Source organism: Homo sapiens, chromosome 2, assembly GCF_000001405.40.
Source record: "Homo sapiens chromosome 2, GRCh38.p14 Primary Assembly".
NCBI lineage: Eukaryota > Metazoa > Chordata > Mammalia > Primates > Hominidae > Homo > Homo sapiens.
This window is the reverse complement of record NC_000002.12, coordinates 115,708,279-115,731,167: the sequence shown is the minus strand read 5'-3', so window position 1 is coordinate 115,731,167 and position 22,889 is coordinate 115,708,279. Positions and strand designations below refer to the sequence as shown.

The window sequence follows — 22,889 nt, the reverse complement described above, 5'->3', positions numbered from 1 at the left end:
CAGGATGGTCTCAATCTCCTGACCTCATGATCCACCGGCCTTGGCCTCCCAAAATGCTGGGATTACAGGTATGAGCCACCACACCCAGCCTTTTTTTGTATTTTTAGTAGAGACAGGATTTTGCCATATTGCCCAGGCTGGTCTTGAAATCCTGGGCTCAAGTGATCTGCCCACCTCGCCCCCTCAAAGTGCTAGGATTGCTGGCATGAGCCACAGCACTGGGTGCGTCTTAGTTTCTTCATAAATGATTAGATGCACAAACATTTTGATGATTAAATCACATACACGTACAGCATTTCCTAGTTAACGGCAACATAGGAGCCCAAAGTATGGCAAAAACTATACTTTTTCCTTTCCCCTTTGGAATGCGTCAGACCTACAGCATCATCACAAAAGTTTGTATTACCCGTTTGTTCTGCTCTCCACAACCCCTACAAACAGTTTACTCTCAGACCGAATACATAGATTTTTATTCTTTAGTTAAGAAAATTACCGTATTTGTCAGGAAACGGTCTCTAATTTCTCTCCTTAAAATTTCCTTATAAATGTATGAAGCCTTTTCAATAGGACAGAGACCCAAGTCATCTTAATTCGGGACGGAGCAGCACAATAAGCATGGTCTACATTGAGTATACCCTCAGTTGACTGAAAACTTCATCGACGTTACAGACCACCTTTTATCACCAAGGGAGCACGTCAGTACGTGGTTCAATGCCCGCATTGCTGCTAATCTAGTCTTCTCTTCCCTGAAACCCACTGCTCCTTGTTAATGCTTGCTCACTATGTCTGCCACCACTACTTACTAGTGACCCAAACCAGAAGACACAGAATCATCCTTGACTTCTTATCATTCACCCCATCTGCTTAGCCACTAAGACCTATATATTTCATTGTCTCATCAATTTTAGAGTCTTTCCTCCTTTTTACTGCTTTAACCCTAGTTCCATTGCTCATTATCTCTTGATAGAACATAGAAGAAGCCTTACAGCCGCTCACCGTTTCTTTCCACTCTTAGACCCCAGGTTCCTGCTGTCACAAAAACAATCTGTTCATATGGAAGATCCAATCTTGTCACTCCCTTACTTGAAAACTTCTATTAGTTTTCCTATTAAATGGTAGGAAAATAATTGAAATTCCAAATCATTGATAGAGGTCACTATCCCTCGCTTCTTGCTACCTTCCTTTGTCTCAAATTTTATGGCCCAATTATATCAAGGAGACTTTGGTTCCCTAGGGACACACTTGTGGGTTTTTGCAAATTGTTACATCTGCTTAGATTTTTCCTTCCTAATTTCTTCTCATGCGTAACACTTGTTAACTGTTCAGGCTTGACTCAGATGCTCTCTCTCTCTTCTCTCTCTCTCTCTTTTTCTCTCTCTCCCTTGTTTTAAGAGGTAAGGATCTCACTCTGTTGCCTAAGCTGGAGTTCAGGGGCCTGGATCATAGCTCATTGCAGTCTTCAACTCCCGAGCTCAAGCAATCCTCTCTCATTAACAATCCTCTCACTTCAGCTGGGAACACAGGTGCATGCCATCACATCTGGCTAATTTTTAAAAATTTTTTAGTAGAAATGAAAACCTTGCTATTTTGTCTAGGCTGGTATGGAACTCCTGGCTTTGGATAATTCTCCCACCTTGGCCTCCCACAGCTCTGAGATTACAGGCTTGAGCTACTGTTGTTGGCCAGGGTTTCTCCTTTAGAAAAAATGCTTGCAAATCCCTAGAATGGTATCATTCCTTTGTTCTTCCATAGAATTCTGTGTTGATTAAGATTCAACTACTTACCACACTGCATTAACATGGTTTCTTCATCTGTCAGGGTGTCACACAGTACCAATAATATTTTGAAGAAAAAGGGCACGTCTTAGTCTCTGCACTTCAATTAGCTCCTGCTACCTAGACTGCCAGAACTAACCAGATTTTAAATGTGTTGTCCACCTGTTTATTAAATTCTGAGGGCCATCCCAGTCCCCTCCAGTAATGTATCTCTTTGAAATAGAAAAGCCAGATTTAGATTCTGTAACTCTCAACCAATGAACACTCCTTACCTGTGTATTTCTTTTTCTAATATATACTTTCACAGCATACTTATTGTTAATATTTTCGGGGAAGCTCTCACTGCTCTTCACAATAAATTGTAGCCTCTAAAAATCTTATTTCATGCTGGCATGTACACAGAAATCTATTATAGATATAAATATACATGTACACATATACATATAAATCTCAAGGGTTACAACATCTCTTCTTTAATAAAATAGCTCCACCTAACAAAATATTTCACGTAAATATACGGTTTATTAGAGCAGTACTTTTTGCTCCGTCTTTTATCCTGGCACCTAGACATCTATCCAGAATACAGTAGGCCTTCAATGATATCATTTGAGTGAAAGAGTGAATGAATGAATAATTGGTCTAAGTTATTCACTTTTCTTATAGAATTAAAAATGTCAAATCTGAGGTAGAGAGATTACATTTGCAAATATTGCCCATGAAATAAAATTCACTTTTTGAATGATTCATAGCTTTATAATTTATAATAAAGTAGACTTACTTTAAATCTTGACATATTTTGCCAAAATCAGCTGAAGAATCTGAAACATAGGTAATAAACTCATACTTTGAGTCTTGCCCAGGCAATCTATATGTAGAACTCAGCTGATAATTGGTACGTGATAAAAACTGGATAAATTTTCATCACCTGATTTATTTTTATATTCTCAGCTATTACTAAAACTTGATTCAATAGATATTGAAAATAACTCTTTATGTGGGTTTTATTTTGCTCCCTCTGCAATAGCTTATAAAGTGTGACAGAATGTCCCTAATGGAAATAACTAAAATCAGGTGGCTTTTTATGCATTTTTTTTTTTTTTTTTTAGAAATAAAGGTTTCTGTTTCTTCTTTCCCAGAGAGTCAGAAAAAATTCAGCATCTAATTCCAAAGTGACATAAGGTAACCATTTACTTTCATTAGTTGTCCTCACAAATAATATCTATCTAGCCTATATGTACATATATACACCAAACATGGAATCATGTAAGTAGATGTAAATCTCAACCACACAAAATATAAGCACATGCAAAGATATGAAAGCATGAGGGCAATTTTGAGAGAAAATGAGAAGAAACTGTACTGTAAGTATTGCTCCGGAATGAATAGATTTTTTTTGGTAGATTTTGTATAAAAATATGTCATTTGTTTCCTTTGAAACTAAATCTGATCAACTCACCTTCATATAACCAGTCAGCAATCCCATTAAAAATTATTTCTTCTTTTCCAGAAGATGTCAGTCGCAATGAACTGCTCTTTATATCAGGTTGATAGTAGATATTATTTTCAAAAATATAAATCTGGATCAGGAAATGTGAAACAAACAAAAAATCCAACACGTTAGGATGCCTTTTGAAACTTTAATATTACAGAATGATCACTGAATAGCCATGTTGTATTATTTACGGGCTTCAAGTTGTTTTTATTCAAGGCATATGTTTTTATTGCTTTCAATTATTAATGGCTTTTTCTGTTTTATTGTATCAATATCAAGTTGTCATTTGGAAATTCCATGGCACTTGGTATTGATGCTTTTAAATCCATATTTTCAGCAACAATATTTCAACTACTTAATAATCTCTCTCCATACCACAAAATTGTTTTGGCTTTGAGATAACATTTTGCTTACTCAAGAGACTGATAACTGTAACTATAAGCCATTTTAGTAACACCAACTGACTGTTTGAAGAGCTTCAATTTGGGGTCTTTACTTTTACAAAAATGCATTTGGTGATCAATAAAATAATCTCTAGATAATCTCTCTGATTCTATCTAGCTCAGCTCACAGATTCCCTGATGGTAGAAACGATACTAAAATTCCTTTGAATTGATAAGTGGAACACAGCTTCCAGTGCACCAGTCTTGGCAACTCTTTTGTAAATAGTACGGCAATAATAATAACCTTATAACTGAGAGTTCCAGAGAGAGTCTTAATTTGAACATAGCACAGTCTGCCAAAATAATATCAACAATAGCCCCAACAACAGGAACAATGGTGCAAACTAAACAATGTCACAATGTGCCTATGATATAGATAATTCAGGATAAAATTATTTATAATTCGCTTTACAATGTCTTCAATGCCAAATACTTGAAACTGCTGACCAATGTGGTACTATAATCTTCCAGAGAACCATGTTTCTTTGGTTAGGGGAAGCACAACATTGTCCAGGGCAAGCCAAATTGCTATTTAGATCAAACATTCTACTAAGAAGGTGAAAGATGGCATAGGGCCCCTGTATCCTAGCATGGTATAGAATTAACACACAGTAGCAAATAGAGAAAACACAAGATCTTCCAAGACAATTGTCTGAATACTTACGAGGCCCTAGGTTTTAAATCTTGGTGTGCACAGTGACAAGAGCAATTTGAACATCTAGAACATTTCATGGATATTCTATTTTAATTCTGGTGATTTAACAAGCATTTACAGGTGGGTGTATTTAATTATTAATTCCACCGCTACAACAGGATCTTTTTTATACCACAGGTGAGAATCTCAATATCAGAGTAAGAATTTAAAAATAAATAAAAACAATGAAAGGAGGGTACTGCAGGGTGGTTACAAGCGTGGACTTTATAGCCAGGCAGCCTAAATTTAAAATCCTAATGACCTTGATAACATTCTTAACCTTTCTAAATCTCGGTCCTCTACTTTATAAAATGTGAATAAGGCTCACACATACCTTACAGATCTGTGGTGAAGAGTAAATGAGATGATGAATGCAGAATAAATAGCACATTGGGGTATTACTAAAAGCAGGGTGGACTGTACACAAGATAACCTGGTTCACAATGTTAAGAGTGTTGGAGGCAACAAACTCTAAGTCAAAATGAAGCCTCTACAGCTTTAGCTGATATGTAAATTATCCCAACGTTTTGTCTGGTAGAGTACATGTTATATTAGTTAAATATGTATTAGGAGTAGGAGCAGAACAGTAGCAGCAATAGTGGTAGTATTAATAGTAGGAAGGCAAGGGACATGGAGGAGGAGAGAGCTATTAACAAATAATATTTATTGCTTCCACCTCAGTTAGAAAGTTCTCAGGTGAGACAATGAAATAGGAAATAAGCTTATTACTAAAATTATGTGGATCACACTTAGGCAAAAGTTTGAGAATTACCTCTCAGATTCCCTAACACTGGATAGAAGTTGGATTTAATGACTTTCACGACCCCTGATAACTGAGAAAAAATATGAACTTTGTTCTAGCCAACTAAAGCATAAGCTTTACACCTTTCCAATACTACATCCTCTTGCTTTTCACAAACAGTATACAACACAGGTGCACAACGTTTTCCTTATTTGGAGGAAATTCCTTTCCTGTACCTGAAACTTCTAGTGGGACTTGTGAGTCATAACAGCACAGATCATGCACACCGGGACTACTCAGCACATATTGCTCTTATTAGGAGTGGAGGTGACCTCACCCAAAGTAATATGGTTCTGAATTCTCAGCTTTCTGAAGGGAATAAAATCTAAGTCAAAATAATTAATAAAACCTCCACAACTTCAACAGATGTAAAAATTATCCAAAACTATTGACCAGTAATTACATTTATATTTGACAGACTGGATACTCAGAATCCATATGAAACTGACATCTGCTTCAATGTAGAAGAACAAGCAATATGGAATCAGAATTCTAATGCCATGCCACTGAAAGCTGTAATATGAGAGAATGTCCATAAGATGTTTTCTTCAGTGGATAAAAAATAAGTAGCTGTCTTCATGAAAGTGTGCATTTTTAACATCCTAATCCCTTTTCAATTATCAAAGTTTATCCTTGAGTTGTATTTGTTTCAAAAATAATTGAAAACTCTAACCATTAGTAACAATTTGAGAGCTGCAAGTATCCCCAGGTACTGTCTGAGCACTCTGAGGAAATTAAACTGGACCCCAATGACAATGATCAAGGGCTGCATTTAGATTTAATCACAATGAAAATATGACACACACTAATGCTATTTATCCTAATGTTATTGATTAAACTGCCATAATATTTTATACTATTATTTTCTTCAGTGAGTCGCCTGATATGGTTTAGATCTATGTCCCTGCCAAATCTCATTTTGAGATGTAATCCCTAGTGTTGGAGATGAGGCCTGGTGGGAGGTGTTTAGGTCATGGGCATGCATCCCTCACAGCTGGGTGCCGTCCTCACAATATGAGTGGGTTCGTGTGAGATCTGGCTGTTCGAAAGTGTGTGGCATCCCACCACCCCACTCTGTCTTACTGCTTCTCTAGCCATGTGATATGCCTGCTCCTGCTTTACCTTCTGCCATGAGTAAACACCAGTGAGGCCTTCCCAGAAGCCGAGCAGATGTGTATGCCATGCTTGCACAACCTGCAGAACCTTGAATCACTTAAACCTCTTTTCTTTATAAATTACCCAGTCTCAGGTGTTTCTCTATAGCAATGCAAGAACAAACACAACACCTAAGCAGCACAACAAATAAAAAGGGAAAGCTATTTTACCAGCTAACTCTTCAATTTGCAGAGCCAGTCAACTTCCAGTTTTTCAAAATCAATGGTCTTACTCTACCCATAAAATAATTCAAAATGGGTAAAGTCACCACAAAAAAAAATAGAAGAACAATTGAAATACTATGTGCTGCATTATGTCAAGTTAGGAAATATGTCATAAATGTTTCAAGGGATATTCGAATCAATGTGTTAGTCAATGTTGCTCATTAACAAATGATTGGACCCAATATACATCACTGCTGGGCAGAAGTCTTTAAGAGTCAATTTTTAATTTGCCACCTTCTCTTCTGCCACAACTACCAGCAAATTCACCAGATGCTGGACACCTAGCAGCCTGGATTTCTGGGTGAAGAGCCATTAGGCAGATTCTCTCCACACTGACATACAACTTGTGATGAACATGTGGCAAGAAATGAAAATTTGATATTAAAGTCTATGAAGATCTTGAGTTGGAATGCAGTTACAATATAAATTAGCTTACCATAAGTGATTCAACCTGCGACAATGGCAGATACAAACCTACAATAGCAGCACTCTCACAAAATTTTAGCCATCTTAAAAGAAAATAAAAACACAAAATAAAAGATACATAATTAAACATTAGACTTGTTTTAGCTGAAATATTACTGAAACGCTATTCTGCCTTCACTGATTTGAGTAATTTTCATGACAATTTTAAATTTGAAAATGGTGAATGATTCAAAAATCTCCATGCATTATAATGGTTTGGAAAGATCTGTAAAGTTACACTGGAGTTGGGATAGTATTTGCATTCATTCCACCATGGCTTGCTTTCTGGGAAATAAAATTGTAATTAAGAAAGTATCCCAGATAATGCCTATTGGTGGCAGGGATGCAGTGAAAACTGTCCTTTTCTAATTTAGTTGTGAAATTATAATGTGTTATTCCCATTTGGGAATATAAAATGGCAATTGCAAACAAAACATATTCCATCTCACCAGCAATCCTAAACCTGGGACCTAGCCGTGTAAAAAAAAAAAAAAACAAAAAACAACAACAACAACAACAAAATACACCAACCTGCAGAGAGCAATGAGCAGTGATGTTTATTTCAACTAAAAAGAAGAGTCAAAGTGAAAACTCTTCGTAATTGTCAGAGTCAAGATGAAAACTCATCATAATCGAATGCCTGGATGGATTACTATTCATCCACACCATATAATAACATTCATGACTTGAAGAGAATAAATTTGTGCTTGGAAAAGAATAAAGTTGACTTGGAAAAATTTCACTGAGATATCGTCAAGTGACAAAAGCAAGAGAGAAAACCAAAGAAAAGCAAAAACAACAAAGAATTCGACGGAAGCCCATCTTTGTATACCAGACAATGACAATACTAACATAAATTTATACTATCAGTAATCTCGCCGACACATAAACATTGGAGGTTGTCTGTTGGTCGTCAGTCCCGCTGCTGCCCCTATATGGTTTTTTATTACTGGGGGTGGTTAGAAAGCCTGAAATTTACATTTCTAAGACTTCCTTTCAAAATAGTCTTCTCAGCTTCTTTGCTAGTTGACTTCTAGTTACTTTCTGCAAAAAAAGGAGAGCTCTACCAGTCAGAAACCGGAAGCCTCTGGCAGTGGCTCTGGCACACCAGCCTCAGCAATAGGACCTCAGTGGCAGTGGTGACGGGAGTGTAAGCCCGGGGTCCTGCCTTGATAACGGCAACATGTGTTTACAGGTTCTGCATACCACCACTTTGGCCCCTCCAGCCTTTACGACACTGTTTGTAACAATTATCTGTATTAAATCTCTTCTATCTGGACCACTAGAGTAATATCTGTTTTCCCATTTGGAAACCTTTACTGAAACAGTACAAAAATGGATGACTATAGTTGCTTGTACAATATAGCCATGCACTGCATTACAATGTTTTGGTCGGTAACAGACCACATACATAAGGGTGGTCCATGAGATTTTAATATTCTATTTTTTCTGTGTCTTTTCTACGTGTCTATATGTTTGATACAAAGATACATACCGTTGTGTTGCAGTTGCCCACAATATTCAATATAGTAACATGCTTTAGAGGTTTGTAGCTTAGGACCAATAAACTGTACCATATAGCCTATTCCTAGTAGGCTATACAAAATAGGTGTGTATAGATATACCCTATGATGTTTGCACAACGACAAAATTGCGTAACGACACGTTTCTCAGAACATATCCCCATCAAGTGATACATGACTCTATTTTACAAATACACAAAAGCATGAAGAGACTATGGAAGGATCTGTGTTTGCCTTTTAATATGGGAGGAGGTACAGTGGGGTACAGAAGTGGAAAGCAGGTAGTCAAGCAGAAAAGGCTAGGAAAATATTGCAAAGAGTTAAAAAAATTGTGTGATAAGAACACAACAGGAAATCTACCCTCTTAAATCTGTAAGCGTACAATGAATTATCATTGACTGTAGGTATAATGTTGTCCAGCTGATCTCTAGAGCTTACTAATCTCACTCAACTGAAATTCTGTGTCGGTTGATTAGTAACTTCCCATTTTCCCTTCTCCCTCAGCCCCTTGCAATCACCATTTCACTCTTAAAATCTATGTATTTGACTATTTTTGATTCCCCATAAAAGGGGAATCATGCAGTATTTGTCTTTCTGTGCCTGGCTTATTTCACTTAGCCTAATGTCTTCAAGGTTCATTTGTGTTGTTGCATATTGCACAATTTCCTTCTTTTTAAAACCTGCATAGTATTCCATTGCATGTATATGGCACATTAACCATTTATCTGTTGATGGACATTGAGACTGTTTCTACATCCTGGCTATTGTGAATAGGGCTGCAATGAACATAGGAGTGCTAATAACTCTTTGAGATTCCAATTTCAATTATTTTGAATAAATACCCAGAACTGGCACGGCTAGATCATAAGGTAGTTTTATTTTTAATTTACTGAGGAACTTTCATGCTGTCTTCGTATAGTACCTGGATTATTTTGTATACTGAACAGTGTATGAGAGTTCCAATTTCTCCACATTTTTACCAACACTTTTTTTTTTATAATAGCTGTCTTGACAGGTGTGAAGTGGTATCTCATTGTAGTTTTGATTTGCATTTCCCTGATGATTAGTCACTATATTTATTGTTGTACATGACTTATACAAGTTTATGTATGTAAATTATACATGTTTATGAATAAAGTACCAACATTAATTTTTGTGATAATATACATATGATGATATGGTTGCTCTAAAGGTTAAATTTGTACAAAACCATAGGGCAGCTTGAAGGCTAGATCACATAGTTTGAACCAACTTTTTTCAGTTATTGACAAATGTAAATTTCTTATGACCCAAGAGTGTTTAATCAGCTTTAGGAAAATATTGGGGAAAATAATTGGTGATAGTTACAGAATAGGTGATGGACATGGGGGACTGCTGGCAGAAGAATGATTCAGATATTCTGCCTAACAGGAATTATAATTGGCAAAATGGAGTCATGATTCCTAACATATGTCTTAAATGTACATGCCTAAAATGTTTGTGAATTCCAATGCCAATGTTTTAGTATCTCCCACTTGAATCCTAAGCTTCACCTTCCAGAGTCAATCACTGCGGCTCTTTTTAGCACTGGTTGCATATCTTTCAAAGCCTATGAAGTTCTCACCTTCTTCCCTGCCTAATAGAACTTGAACATTCCAGCAACCATATCCTCAGCTCTTTTTGGCTCCCGGCCCACCACCCAAATTCCAGCCTTACCATGGCCCCTGACAAAACACTGGCTTCAAAATTTATCTGGAACCTTAGACCTTTTGTTTTATGAGGTAAAAATTTGATTTCATTTAATTTTTTAGTCATGCCAGTTTATCAATGTCTTTAAGAACACATCTTAGAATAAACTAAATATTTGTCTTTTAATTTGATGTAATATTGTTTTGGAAATAAATGAGACACATGGAAATTCTTCAGTGAAACAGAATCACTATTAGGTTTCTATTTCACATAGAAACCTCCAACATGCTATATTTTATTTCAATAAATAAAAAAGTATTATCATATAGACCATATTAAAACATATAAGTACATTTACAGTTATTTTTTATCAGAGATATTGTAAGAATAAGACACCTTGAATTCCATCATCTACATAAGCTGTTGCAAAACCTTTATATTTGTTTAATAAATATAAATTTTTGAAATATTTAAGACATATTTTTAGATGGATCATCGAATATTGAAGAAAAGTTTCCTCCTCTAAGCAATATGCTGCATTTTAGTCTAGAAACCATCTGGAGGAATTACTCTTTAAAATCTTGATGTATAAATTGATAAATGAAAAGTGCTTATTTTGATTTATGTCACTTACATTCTTTTGGTAGTAGGAGTATATATAAGCAAACACACACACAAAATATTTTGGTATTATAATTAGAATGGCTAAAATGAAAAAGAGAGCCACTAATAAGTGTTGCCAAGGATGTGAAGCAATTGGAACCCTCGTGCACTGCTGGTGGGAGAATAAATTGGTACAATCAATTTGTCAATCCTTTTGACAGTTCTTACCAAAGCTGAGCATAGGTCTGACTCAGCAACTCCACTCTAAGGTATATACCTAACAGAAACTTATATGGGTAGATAGATAGATTTCTGTATCAAAAGACGCATACAAAAATGTTCTTGGTAATGCTATTTGTGATAGCCAATAACGATGTTACAAATCAGGATAATGATTATCTTTGTGGGTAAATAGTTACTGGTAGGTGTCAGAATACAGGTTTTTCAATAGTGTGAACGATGTTTTGTTTCTGCACTTGGCACCATGCACATGGAAGTGTTCACGAGGATCAGTTCTGTATATTTTGTTGCATGCATGCTAATATAAACTTAAAGCAAAAGGAAAAATGTTATATAGAATATATATCAGCATTTATACTTCATTAAGAATATTACCATAAAGACTTTTATCAAAATTTACTGAAAGCCACAATGCAGCATTCAACTTTACTTTTTATAAAATTCTGTTTCCATAATTTGTCAGTATACAATAAATTCTGTGTGTCCAGTTATATAATGCAAAGCAAAACTATGAGCACAAATTAAACAGTTTGATTACCTCTGACATTTTGGTCTTAAATAAATCTCTCTGTTGGTTATAAAGCACTGCTTTCATTTCTCTATGGGACCATCTCTGAGACATAGAACAACTCATTCAAATCACTCATGTCACCTTTGCATCAGTACCTGACATTCTAGAAATAGAATCACTATCAGGAAACTCTCATCCCTTGACATTTGCAATTATTCATATCAGGAAGCCCTTTCAAAGAGTTCTTATTTCTTAAAACCTTTGCAGCACTTTATGCATTTTCAAAGAAATGAAATATGTCCCTTTGTCTTAAATTCATAATTATGTAAGTCACTTACCAGTCCTAAAGCCTTATCTTTTAATCCACGCTTTTTAGGAGATAAATGGATACCAGATAAAAGTTAGCAAAAAGACCAACTCCAATAAATGGAATATAAGGAATATAATAACAGACTTTCTCTTGGCTATGTCAGTTCATAAAACTTATTTAGCATAAGAGAAGACCTCGTGATGAATAAATCATTTTGGTAATTGAAAACATTAAGAAAAATATTTACAGGCCCCGAGAAATAAACTGGAACCCACAGGAGACAAACAGTTATCAATATTATAACTGTTATTTAAAAATCCCTTATGTGTTGATTTATGCGGGTCGAAGTGCTAGAAGATGGTTTTATCTAGTCATTGCATATCCATTTTCTTCTCTACCCAACTTTCTCCTTTTTCACTTTTCCTTTGCCACCCCATTGTCATGCCTTATTTTCCTTCTTCGAGCCCATTATCATAAAGCAAATATGTATCAGGCACCTCCTATGTGCTAGGCCCTGTGCTGAGCCTTGAGGTTATAAAGATTAAAAAAATACAAGATCTTATTTTATAATGTGACTTTTCATTAAAACCATACACAAATTAATACAGATATGGAGAATAAGGAAAAATAAAACCAATGGATGAGGGCATTAATTTAGGAGAAAATGTTACTGCCTAATATGACTGATTGCAATAGAACTCAAAATAGAAAATAAAAATAAAAGCACGATTTTTAGTAAAGAAAAAAATACAGAAAAAAAGAGATCTAAGAAATGTAGAGATAGTCAATAGTGAATGAAATGACAGCTACGTTATCTGAAAGATAACTTTTTTCATGGTTCTGTAGAAAAATGAAATTTCTATCACAGAGACATGAGATCTCATCCTGACAGTGTCAATTGCTCTTTGTAATATTTGGGCAATCGTGTTACTTCATCTCTCTGAGTCTGTTTTCTCATTTGTAAAGATGTGATATTAATACTTCTCATGGTTGTCTACAGGTTTAAATCAACCAAAATCAGTTCATGGATATTGGTCAGTGTACCTGTACATAGATGTTTGATTTTTTTTTTTTTAATTACTGGAAGCTAGTAGTAAGTAATTTGCTAGAAAAGATAAAAGATATAATTACAATTTAGAAAGAATCAGACATTTTTATCCAGTTACGCTGAAAATAAGTATATGCATTTAAAGATGGTAAATTAATGACCACGCACCCATTTTCTCTATACCGGCTACCTAGTATACATTTTTTTCCTCTTATTTGGCTACTCCACATCTGACTTCCCTTTCTATTTTGGAGGATCCTTGTATTATGTGAGTATCAGTGGAAAGTACAACCCAGTCTTTAACCATAAGACAAAATCCAGATAAAATATCCTTAGGTCATGCCCCCACCCAGGACCCTGAATTTTGAGATAATAAAACTGTAATTGAAAAATTATTCGCAAGAGCAACAGCAGACCCTCAGCATCCAGCAAGGGTGATGTGGTGCATGCCCATTCACGTGGCTTCCAGTTGCAGCAACCTCATCAGATTTTCCTGAACACATTCCTATGTTCAAAAACGTGTAGGCCCTCCTAACTCCTGTTCATTTTCCAGTCCTGAAATTCCAACTTTCTCTTTGATTCTGAGAACTTATATACATACATATATATTTTTTTTTTGAGAACTAACATTTGTTGGTTGCTTCTAAGCACTCACAAAAACCTAAGAAGTGGTTAAAATTATCCTTTACAGATGAGGAAACTGAGGACAAAGACATTAAGTAACTTGCCCAAGTTTACACAGCTGGTAGGTAATGGTGAAACTTAACACAAATACAGGCAGCCTGGCTCCAAAGCCTGTCCTCTTATTTATTTATTTATTTTTTATTTATTTTTTATTATACTTTAAGTTTTAGGGTACATGTGCACAACGTGCAGGTTACACATGTATACATGTGCCATGTTGGTGTGCTGCACCCAGTAATATTTTTAATGAATTCATTTTCTCTTGAAGTAAGCCTGAGTCTATTTCTGTTGCTTACTCCCAGGCATCCTAATTGGAAAGTGACATGCAACAGTTTAACCTTCAAAGCCTCAATGTTAAGAAAGTCCTTCACTGTCATTTCTGTTGGTAGTGAGCTGAATTTACTACTCTTTCTTCCCAGGTAGGTGTCCCTCCCTCTCATTCATCCAAAGATTAACAAAAGGGATCCTGCATATGCATTTCAGCCTCTGACGTTACAATAATTTGTTTTTACATTTGTATTGTAACTCTTTGTATTTCAAATGGGGATTCCAAAATTCTTATAACAGATTCCATAAAGAAGAATGAGGGACACTAGAAGAAATTCTCATATGCTTATCAGTGGGTTTGTGCCTAATGCTTTTCCAGTTTATGGGCAGGCTGATAAGAAAACAAACTGAAAAATGCAGAAGGTGGGACTAGGCTTGGTTATCTCCCATGCACATTTTTCCCACAGCTTGACTTTTTATACTACTTCATAAAATTTCAAGGCACCTTTGGCCACAAATGAATAAATAGTGTTTGTTTGTTTGTTTGTTTTTGCAATACAGAAACATCCAACTTTTTTTTTACTATATTCTTCAAACACAATGTACACCAGTAAAATAATCATAGAAAAGCGAACTTGGTTCCAAAATGCCCATGTCCAGAATTAATTTACTCCTGTTAGTATTCTTATGAACTTAAATGTAATTGAACCCATGATGACTGAGGATGAGAATCACTTAAATTCAAGCATAACTTAGGATCCGCAATAAAAGGCAGTTAGAATACTTCCCTGAGTCTTTTTCTCCCTATGAGATTCTATAGAATTGGCTATCCCTCGTACTTCAGTTAATCTGTCTGTTACAATGGGATACAACTACATACTACCTATGATGTATACATAACTACATCACAATATGCCCTAATAACTTTTAATTTGGGGCTGAAAAGCATGTCAAAAAGTATTCAACAGAGTAATGCCTAATTCTCAGTAATTCATGTTGGGTTGTTTGCAATAAATTATTCCCTGTTGGTCCTCCCTTCAGTTCTAACTGCATTTTCCAATATAACAAAACATAAACTGTCTGCTAGTGTTTTCATTGATATTGTCCAATTCAGTGACAACAACAATACTGGGTTACTACACGTTCCACAAAGAAGAAAAACCAAATTCTTCAGCTGAAATTACCAGCAAAGTATATGGTTTAGATTAGATCTCTTAATCCTTCTAAAAGGCAGCTTCCGCCTTAGTGAACCGCATTCACTTGCCATTGCATAAATATGGATCAATGTCTGTATTTGTATTATTTGCTTGTTCATTGGAGAAGACATTGATACACAAAACAGAAAAGATACCTTGGTCAGAACAGCTAGGTAGACTTCCTGGAAAAATAGCATTTTTGTCAAATGTTAATGCCAAATGATATTGTAAGTTTCATATCATTTAAAGAAACATGTAAATATATATTTGCTATTTGGGAGAAATAGTTTTAAAATGTATTAATAAAGAAAATGTAAAGATAGAAGAAAAAAGAAAAGTGTGCATGTGTACAATTGTGCGGGTATGCACGGAGACGTGATGATTATACAGTTCACTCATTCCTCTACAGTTTCACTGCAGTCCTAATGTGTCTGTGAAACAATAGCGACTAAGTCACAGCCCCTGTTGCTGAACAATTCTCAATTTAACATGAGAAGGATAAGGAAGAGCTAACAAATTACCAAATATGGTATGGTATGTTTATAATATAGCGAAGCAGAAAGTGTTGTTGGAATCTGAGGGAATGTCATGAAACAGTCTGAATCTGGTTGAGAGATGGGAGGGTCAAAAAAAGGCTTCAGATGAGCCATGGTATTTTAGCTGGGCCAACAAGTTCCAGTAGATTTTTCTTTTTCTTTTCTTTCTTTTTTTTTTTTTTTTTTTTTTTTGAGACGGAGTTTTGCTCTTGTTGCCCAGGCTGGAGTGCATTGGCGCGATCTCGGCTCATTGCAACCGCCACCTCCTGGGTTCAAGTGATTCTCCTGCCTCAGCCTCCTAAGTAGCTGGGATTACAGGCATGTGCCACCACGCCCAGCTAATTTTGTGTTTTTAGTAGAGACAGAGTTTCTCCATGTTGGTCAGGCTGGTCTTGAACTCCTGACCTCAGGTGATCCGCCTCCCTCGGCCTCCCAAAATGCTGGGATGACAGGCATGAGCCACTGCGCCTGGCTTTTCATAATTTTTTTTTTTTTTTTTTTTTGAGACAGAGTCTTGCTCTGTCTCCCAGGCTGGAGTGCGGTGGCGCGATCTTGCCTCACTCCTACCTCTGCCTCCCAGGTCAAATGGTTCTCCAGCCTCAGCATCCCAAGTAGCTGGGACTACGGGCGCCTGTCGCCATGCCTGGCTAATTTTTGTATATTTTTAGTAGAGACAGGGTTTCACCATCTTGGCCAGGCTCGTCTTGAACTCCTGACCTCGTGATCCACCTGCCTTGGCCTCCCAAGGTGTTGGGATTATAGGCTTGAGCCACGGCGCCCATCCAGTAGATTTTTCTAAGCAGAGAAAGGGCTATTCCAAGTAGAGAAACTAGTATGAGAAAAGGCAGATCAAGATGACACATGTTGAAAATGCTGTGTATAGAAAGAACCCAAAGGAAAGAAAGGCAAATGTTAAGGCAAAGACATGTATGCTAGAGAAAGAGTGGGGTCAAGATACAAATGTAAAAGAATTATTGGAGAACAAGAGAGATGTAGGGAAAACGCACAGAGATAAGAGGGAGACACTTTCTTAAAAATTATTCACTGTTTACTTTGATTATTCTGAATAGTTCCACCTAAAAACTGGCTAGTACAATACTGGTCCAATTTTGGAGATACAATGATGGATAAAGAGTCAAGACATTTAAAAATCATGATCCTAAGATCTTTTGTTTTATTTTTAATTGATCTGGAAATTATTTTCTTTGCATTCTGCTCTAGTGGAAAAGCAGTAAGTGAACAGGATAGCAACAATCTCAACATTACTGTAATATAACAATTAAGGTAAAAGGATATCTCAAACTGAACCTCCAAACACCTTTCCCATATGAGTCTCCTACAGGTATTAATACAGTAAACAAACAACATGTGCTCAGTGAAAATGGACTGTTTTTCACATCAGCCTTTGGTGGAAGGTGGGTGTGGTTCTGTGTGATACTTTAACATTAGAATAGACTAACCTGAAATGAATAGAAGCAGAAAAGCAGATGTTTAGACAGCTAGACTTTACAGGAAAGTCCAAATTCAGTCTTCAGTGATGACTCGGCATCATAACTCTTGAAAAGATTTAATGTGACTGAGGAGAAAATGAGCAGTGGACTTCTGGGGCAGGTGTCACCAGTGCATAAACATTCTGGCTTTATAAATGGATGATGGGATAAGAAGAGATTAAAAGAGATGATGGTTTGACATGAACTAACTTTCATAAAAGTCTCTCTGAAGAGACTTGAAATTCCTGAGAATGTAAAAGTAATCCAAAGAGGGGAAAAAGGAGGAGGAAGACAAAAAGGAGGATAATGAGAATTGAGGAAGTACACCCAGATTCTAAGTTATCTGCACAGTCTCTCAGGTTGCAGTGCAAGTCTCCTGTCCAGAATCCTTCATCACATGCTTCAAGAAATATGATGCTTTGTAATAGCATTTATTCTAGAACAAGGAGCTTCAATGAATCCCATCATCACAGCAACTAAGTCTCCCTGACACTAGGCTTAGTGACCCCCTTCCTCACACAGACAATATCACATAAATCTTTCATGTCATGTATTCCTGTTCACACCAGTCATCCCCAGATTGTAAGCCTGTTGCCACTAAAAATTGACCTTCCATCAATTTATCATTCCCATAATAATGTTCAATAATCCCTGGCTTTTTATCCATTCAGCATTCCAAAACCTTTAACTCTACATTCTCAAACTGTCACTCCATAACCAACCAACTTACCTCTACTCTCAATTCAATCTCTTCTGAGTGTTCCTTCTCCTTCTTTGCCATAACTGACGTCTAGGTCTTCCTTTATGACTCAATTTCCAGCTGCCCTCTCTCATGACTGCTGCTTATCAACTCACACCTCAAGATGCTCATTGCTACCTATTTCTTTTAATTATTTTTTTAATTTTTTTTACATCAAAACGTTTCTACTTCTTCATAAAAAAATCATTCTCATATGAGGTTCATTCCAATCAGATTTACTACTTTTTGGCTCCTCATTGTAGAAGAGTGATTTTCTAAAAAAAAATTCTAATAGGCATCATGTCAAAAAAATTTGTTTTCATGGTCTAGAGTGGTGTTCAACACACTAGGATACATAGGCAGAATCTAGTCTGTTCCTCTTTTTGTATAGCATGCAAAGTAAAAATGGTTTTTGTAGACCAACATTTGCAATGGACTTGATGACAGGGAATACTTACATGCAACCTGCAAAAACATATTTCATTTTTTTCATTTGTAGGCTTGTATTACATAACATTGTACTTATTATTTTATTTTGAATAACTACAATAAAATTTTGTAGCGGTTTGATTTCTATCTTATTGTAGAAGCACCTACATAACTTTGGTTTTGTCTCTTGTCTTACAAAGCCAAATATATTTACTATATGATTCTTTACAGAAAAAAGTTGCTGATCCCTAGTGTGGGGTAAAACAACTATGAAACATTGTGTTAAATAAAATTAAGACAGTTTCTTTATATATATATATATATATATATTTAATTCAGGACTCTTCAAAGCTATTTCTAATTTCATTGCGAATGTTGAGAACTAGGATACTATATTGTATTTTCTAAATTAGGGGTCCCTAACCCCCAGGCCATGGACCAGTCTGTGGCCTGTTAAGAACTGGGCTTCACAGCAGGAGGTGAACCATGGGCTTCATCTGTGCTTACAGCCACTCCCATCGCTCACATTCCTGCTTGAGCTCCGCCTCCTGTCAGATCAGTGGTGGCATGAGGTTCTCATAGGAGTGTGAACCTTATTGTGAACCATGCATGTGAGCTATCTAGGTGGCATGCTCCTTATGAAATCTAATTGTGTCAGTGTCTCCCATTACCCCAGATGGGACTATCTAGTTGCAGGAAAACAAGCTCAGGGCTCCTACTGATTCTGCATTATGGTGAGTTGTATAATTGTTTCATTACATATTACAATGTTATAATCATAGTAATCAAGTGCACAATAAATGTAATGCTCTTAAATCTCCCAAAACCATCCCTCCCCTGCCCCAGTCCATGGAAAAAATTGTCTTCTACAAAACCAGTGCCTGGTGCCAAAAAGGTTGAGAACTGCTGTGCTAAATGCATTAGACAATGATTCCAAAAAAAAAAAAAAAAAAAAAACCAGACCATTTTATAGGTCCAATATTCTAGGAAAACTCTTAAAAATGCATTTTAAAGTATATCTTCTTAAGTAAAAATGAACTAATATATGGATCACTATATGTAACCTTAAGAACCAATTATTTTTACAGCTTTCAAATTGCATAACACTTTGGGATATGTGTCAACTCAATGTCAGCAAAGTCTAGCAGTAAGAACAAACTCATCTTTAAGAAGTTATTTCTGATACCTTTATCTTCTCGGCCTCCTCACATTGCCTTGTTTCAATCAAAATCCACAAAAATCACTCTTATTCATATTATTTACCAACTGTGCATCTTTTTCATTCCCACACCTATATAGGATTAGCACTTCAAATCTCCATTGAAAGGTCATTTCAATGGACTCCATCTCAGACAATCACCCTCCTCTTGAATAAATCCATCCTGAACACAACAGCTAGAGTAATCTTAAACTCCATTTTATGATGTACAAGAATCCAGAATGACTCTCAATTTATAATCTCTGCAAATACGTAGCCACTGTAGCATTCCAGGTCAACCAAGACAATCCCATTCTTTATGTGTATCCCTCATTTTTCTCATCTTTAATTTCTCTAACAGTACTTACCAAATTGTCCCTAATAGTCTTTGCAAGTAACTTTTTTCTTTTGTAAGGTCTCTATTTCTTTTCTGCAAATTAATGTATATAACTTTCAAACCTGAAATTAAGAAACTGTGGTTCTAAGACAGCGAATCCACTATTCACTCCCCTCACCCCACAGAAAAAGAAAAAACATGTACTCACCTAGCTTTATCTGCATGCTATTGTGCTATACGAATTTCAGTTTTGCCCAAAGTATTTCTTGACTTATCACCTCATGCTTCTAGATTTTAAATATCTCAGCAGTTCAGTTCTTTCATTTTTTTCCAACTGAATTCTCCAGAGTGACTAACACATTACAGATTCTAAAAGCAAACTTCTTATTCTTTAAAAACTCAAGTCCTGTTGTTTCTTTGTGGAAATATTTTCCACATTTTATTAACTATATTATTGAAGGTTATGACCTTTGGGAGTAACACAGGCTACCAACAAAACACAGGCTACCAACAAAACAGGATTACTTAATAAATATTTTATTAACTGCATGATTAAAACTAGATTAGCTACCAAGCGAATACATCTTAGGTTTTGGGAATAAGAATAAAATAACCTCAAATTTTAAAAGCTCATAATGTTCTAGAAAAAAGTTGAAAAATTTTAAGTCAATCATTTTGAAGGCATTTTATAGTGACTTGTTTCAACTTTTCAAATGTATTCGTAATCCAAATGTTAGAAAAAAAATGAACATTGTTTATGAATCCATGATGCTATTATTGTTTGATGAAAATAAACTACCTCATTTACCACATACCCTTAAATTCTAAAATTATCAGGCAATCTGATTTTTATCAGTAACTAAAAATTCAAAGTGCCTTGTGAAAATTATTATTAAGGAAGATAATAATCTCATGTAAAACATAGAAATGTTACAAATGTATAATTTTCTTTCTCCCTCACCATTTTTGTCGTTATAGTTGTCACACAACATACAGACATACATACCCCCATACTGTCATTTTTGCTTTTAACAGTAATACGTTTTATACAGAAATTAAGAGGAAATTTAGTGGTTTATGTTTACTCATATACTTAACATTTCCAATGTTCTTCTTTCATTCCTGAAGATCCGAGTTCCCCTATCATATTATTCTTTCTCACTGAAGAGCATATTTTGTAGTGTGGGTCCCTTATTTTTCTTTAGTCAGAAACTGTCTTTATTTCACTTTGATTCCCCATGGTTCTTAATGAGAAGTCTGTAAGCATTCTAATGTTGGTCCTACTTATATGTTGTGTTGTGTCTCTGTTCACTTCCACAGTTTCTCTTTATCTTTAGTTTTCAACAGTTTCGCTAACATTTACTTTTGAGGGATTATCCTTGAATATATTGTGTTTGGAGTTCACTGAGCACCTTGAATATGTAAATTTGTGTTTTTTATTGCATTTTGGAATTTCTATCATTTTTTTCAGATATTTTTCCTGCTCCATTCTCTCCTTTTCTTCTGAGATTCCAAGCACCATCTGTTAGAGATTTGCAGTTTTCCTACAGGTCCCTAGGGGTCTGTTTTTTGTTTGTTTGTTTTGTTTTGTTTTTCTCTCTTTTGTAAATTTCTTAATTTTTTCAGATTAAATGTTGTTTATTGATCTGTGTGCCACAGACTCTGTTCTCTCTCATCTTCATTCTGCTCTTTATCCCATCCAATTTTTTTTTTATTTTAAATACTGTTTCGAAATTCTACAAGTGTCCATTTTCTTCTTTTTAATATTCTTCGTGTATCTGTCTATGAAAGGTAGGATATATAAGATATATAAATATATCAATAGATTTAAGATAGGTGTATTTGTATGCTGATATATCCTATCTTTTTATTCCTTTTGCATTTATTTTTATGAAGGTCAGGAAATACAGTTAGAATAGCAGCTTTAAAGACTTCGTCGGAAAATTCTGTCATTTATAGTTGAAGTTCAGTCAAACACTTGCCTGAGTACGTGCACACCACTAGTTACCCCTGCTCTGACTCTCTCAGGGATTCTTCTCATTCTCTGGCAGTTACAGCTACTCAAGGGCTCTTTCTCTTGGTCTTGCCTAAACGACAGTCGGATTTCCTATCAGAGATTCAACTTACTTGATACCCACACTCTGCCTCCACTACAGTTGCCCTTAGGCTAAAACTCTAAACAAAACTAACAAAATGGAGGAATCCTATTTTGTGAGCTATTTTCCTGTAAATTTCACTCCCTTCGAAAATCTGCCTGGTTTTGTTCAGGCTTGAGTCCTTGGGTAGCTTTTTATGTGTTGGTTTGTTTTAAGGTTTTGTCAGAGTTTATTGCTGAATTTGCGTGAAGATTGATGTGTGAGCAATTGCTCTTCTATATCAGGGTTGTAAAACCATTTATTCAATTTTAGTCAAAGTTCTTTTCATTGTGATTGCTCTGAAGTGAAAGGTTATTTTCCAGTACATTCTTCATCATATCCAGGTGTAGTATTTTTATTTTTCCTTTTCAAGAAGAATTTATTAATGTCAAGTAAATTATATAATTTTAAAGGGTGAAGTGGTTTATATCTAGTTTTGATTCTAATTCCAAGAATAAGTGTAAAGATCTGAATTATTAGTATGTTTACAAATGTCATTATGCTTTCAGGGACAGGTTTTTATGTTAGAGATATAAAATTGGTTAGAAGATGGTGAAAATTTTCCCCAAAAAAAGCTCTTTTGGAAGATACTGAATTTGAATAACATAAGGGAAATCAAAAAAGTTAGTGGACAAGCTTTGTTTTTCTTAAATGAACAGCCAACTTGACATTATTCACCCCCATATCCCAGTTTAGTTCTGGGATGTTAGAAACAGTGATTAGGATAATTTTGAAAGAATTAAGAGTTGAGTACCAATTTGTAATATAATGATCTTTGCATTCTACTTCCATTCCAGAGCACATCAGAAACAAATAAGATACTTACCACGGTCTTTTAATAGCCAACTTCAATATTATTAGCAAGTCTTTTTTACCAAGTAGAATTAAGGTCCAAGTCACAGTTGCTTTTTAAATTCAGCTTTAA

At 35.5% G+C, this 22,889-nt stretch overlaps 1 protein-coding gene across 24 annotated transcripts in view; it reads right to left on the bottom strand.

Moving 5' to 3' along the window:
* The window catches only part of DPP10 (dipeptidyl peptidase like 10), a 1,403,140-nt gene that overhangs the window by 114,613 nt on the left and 1,265,638 nt on the right, over positions 1–22,889 (bottom strand). For all 24 annotated transcript variants that reach the window (NM_001321910.3, NM_001399849.1, NM_020868.6 and 21 more), the window contains 1 exon segment: positions 3,232–3,352. In NM_001321910.3, the coding sequence (NP_001308839.2) occupies positions 3,232–3,352 (121 nt within the window).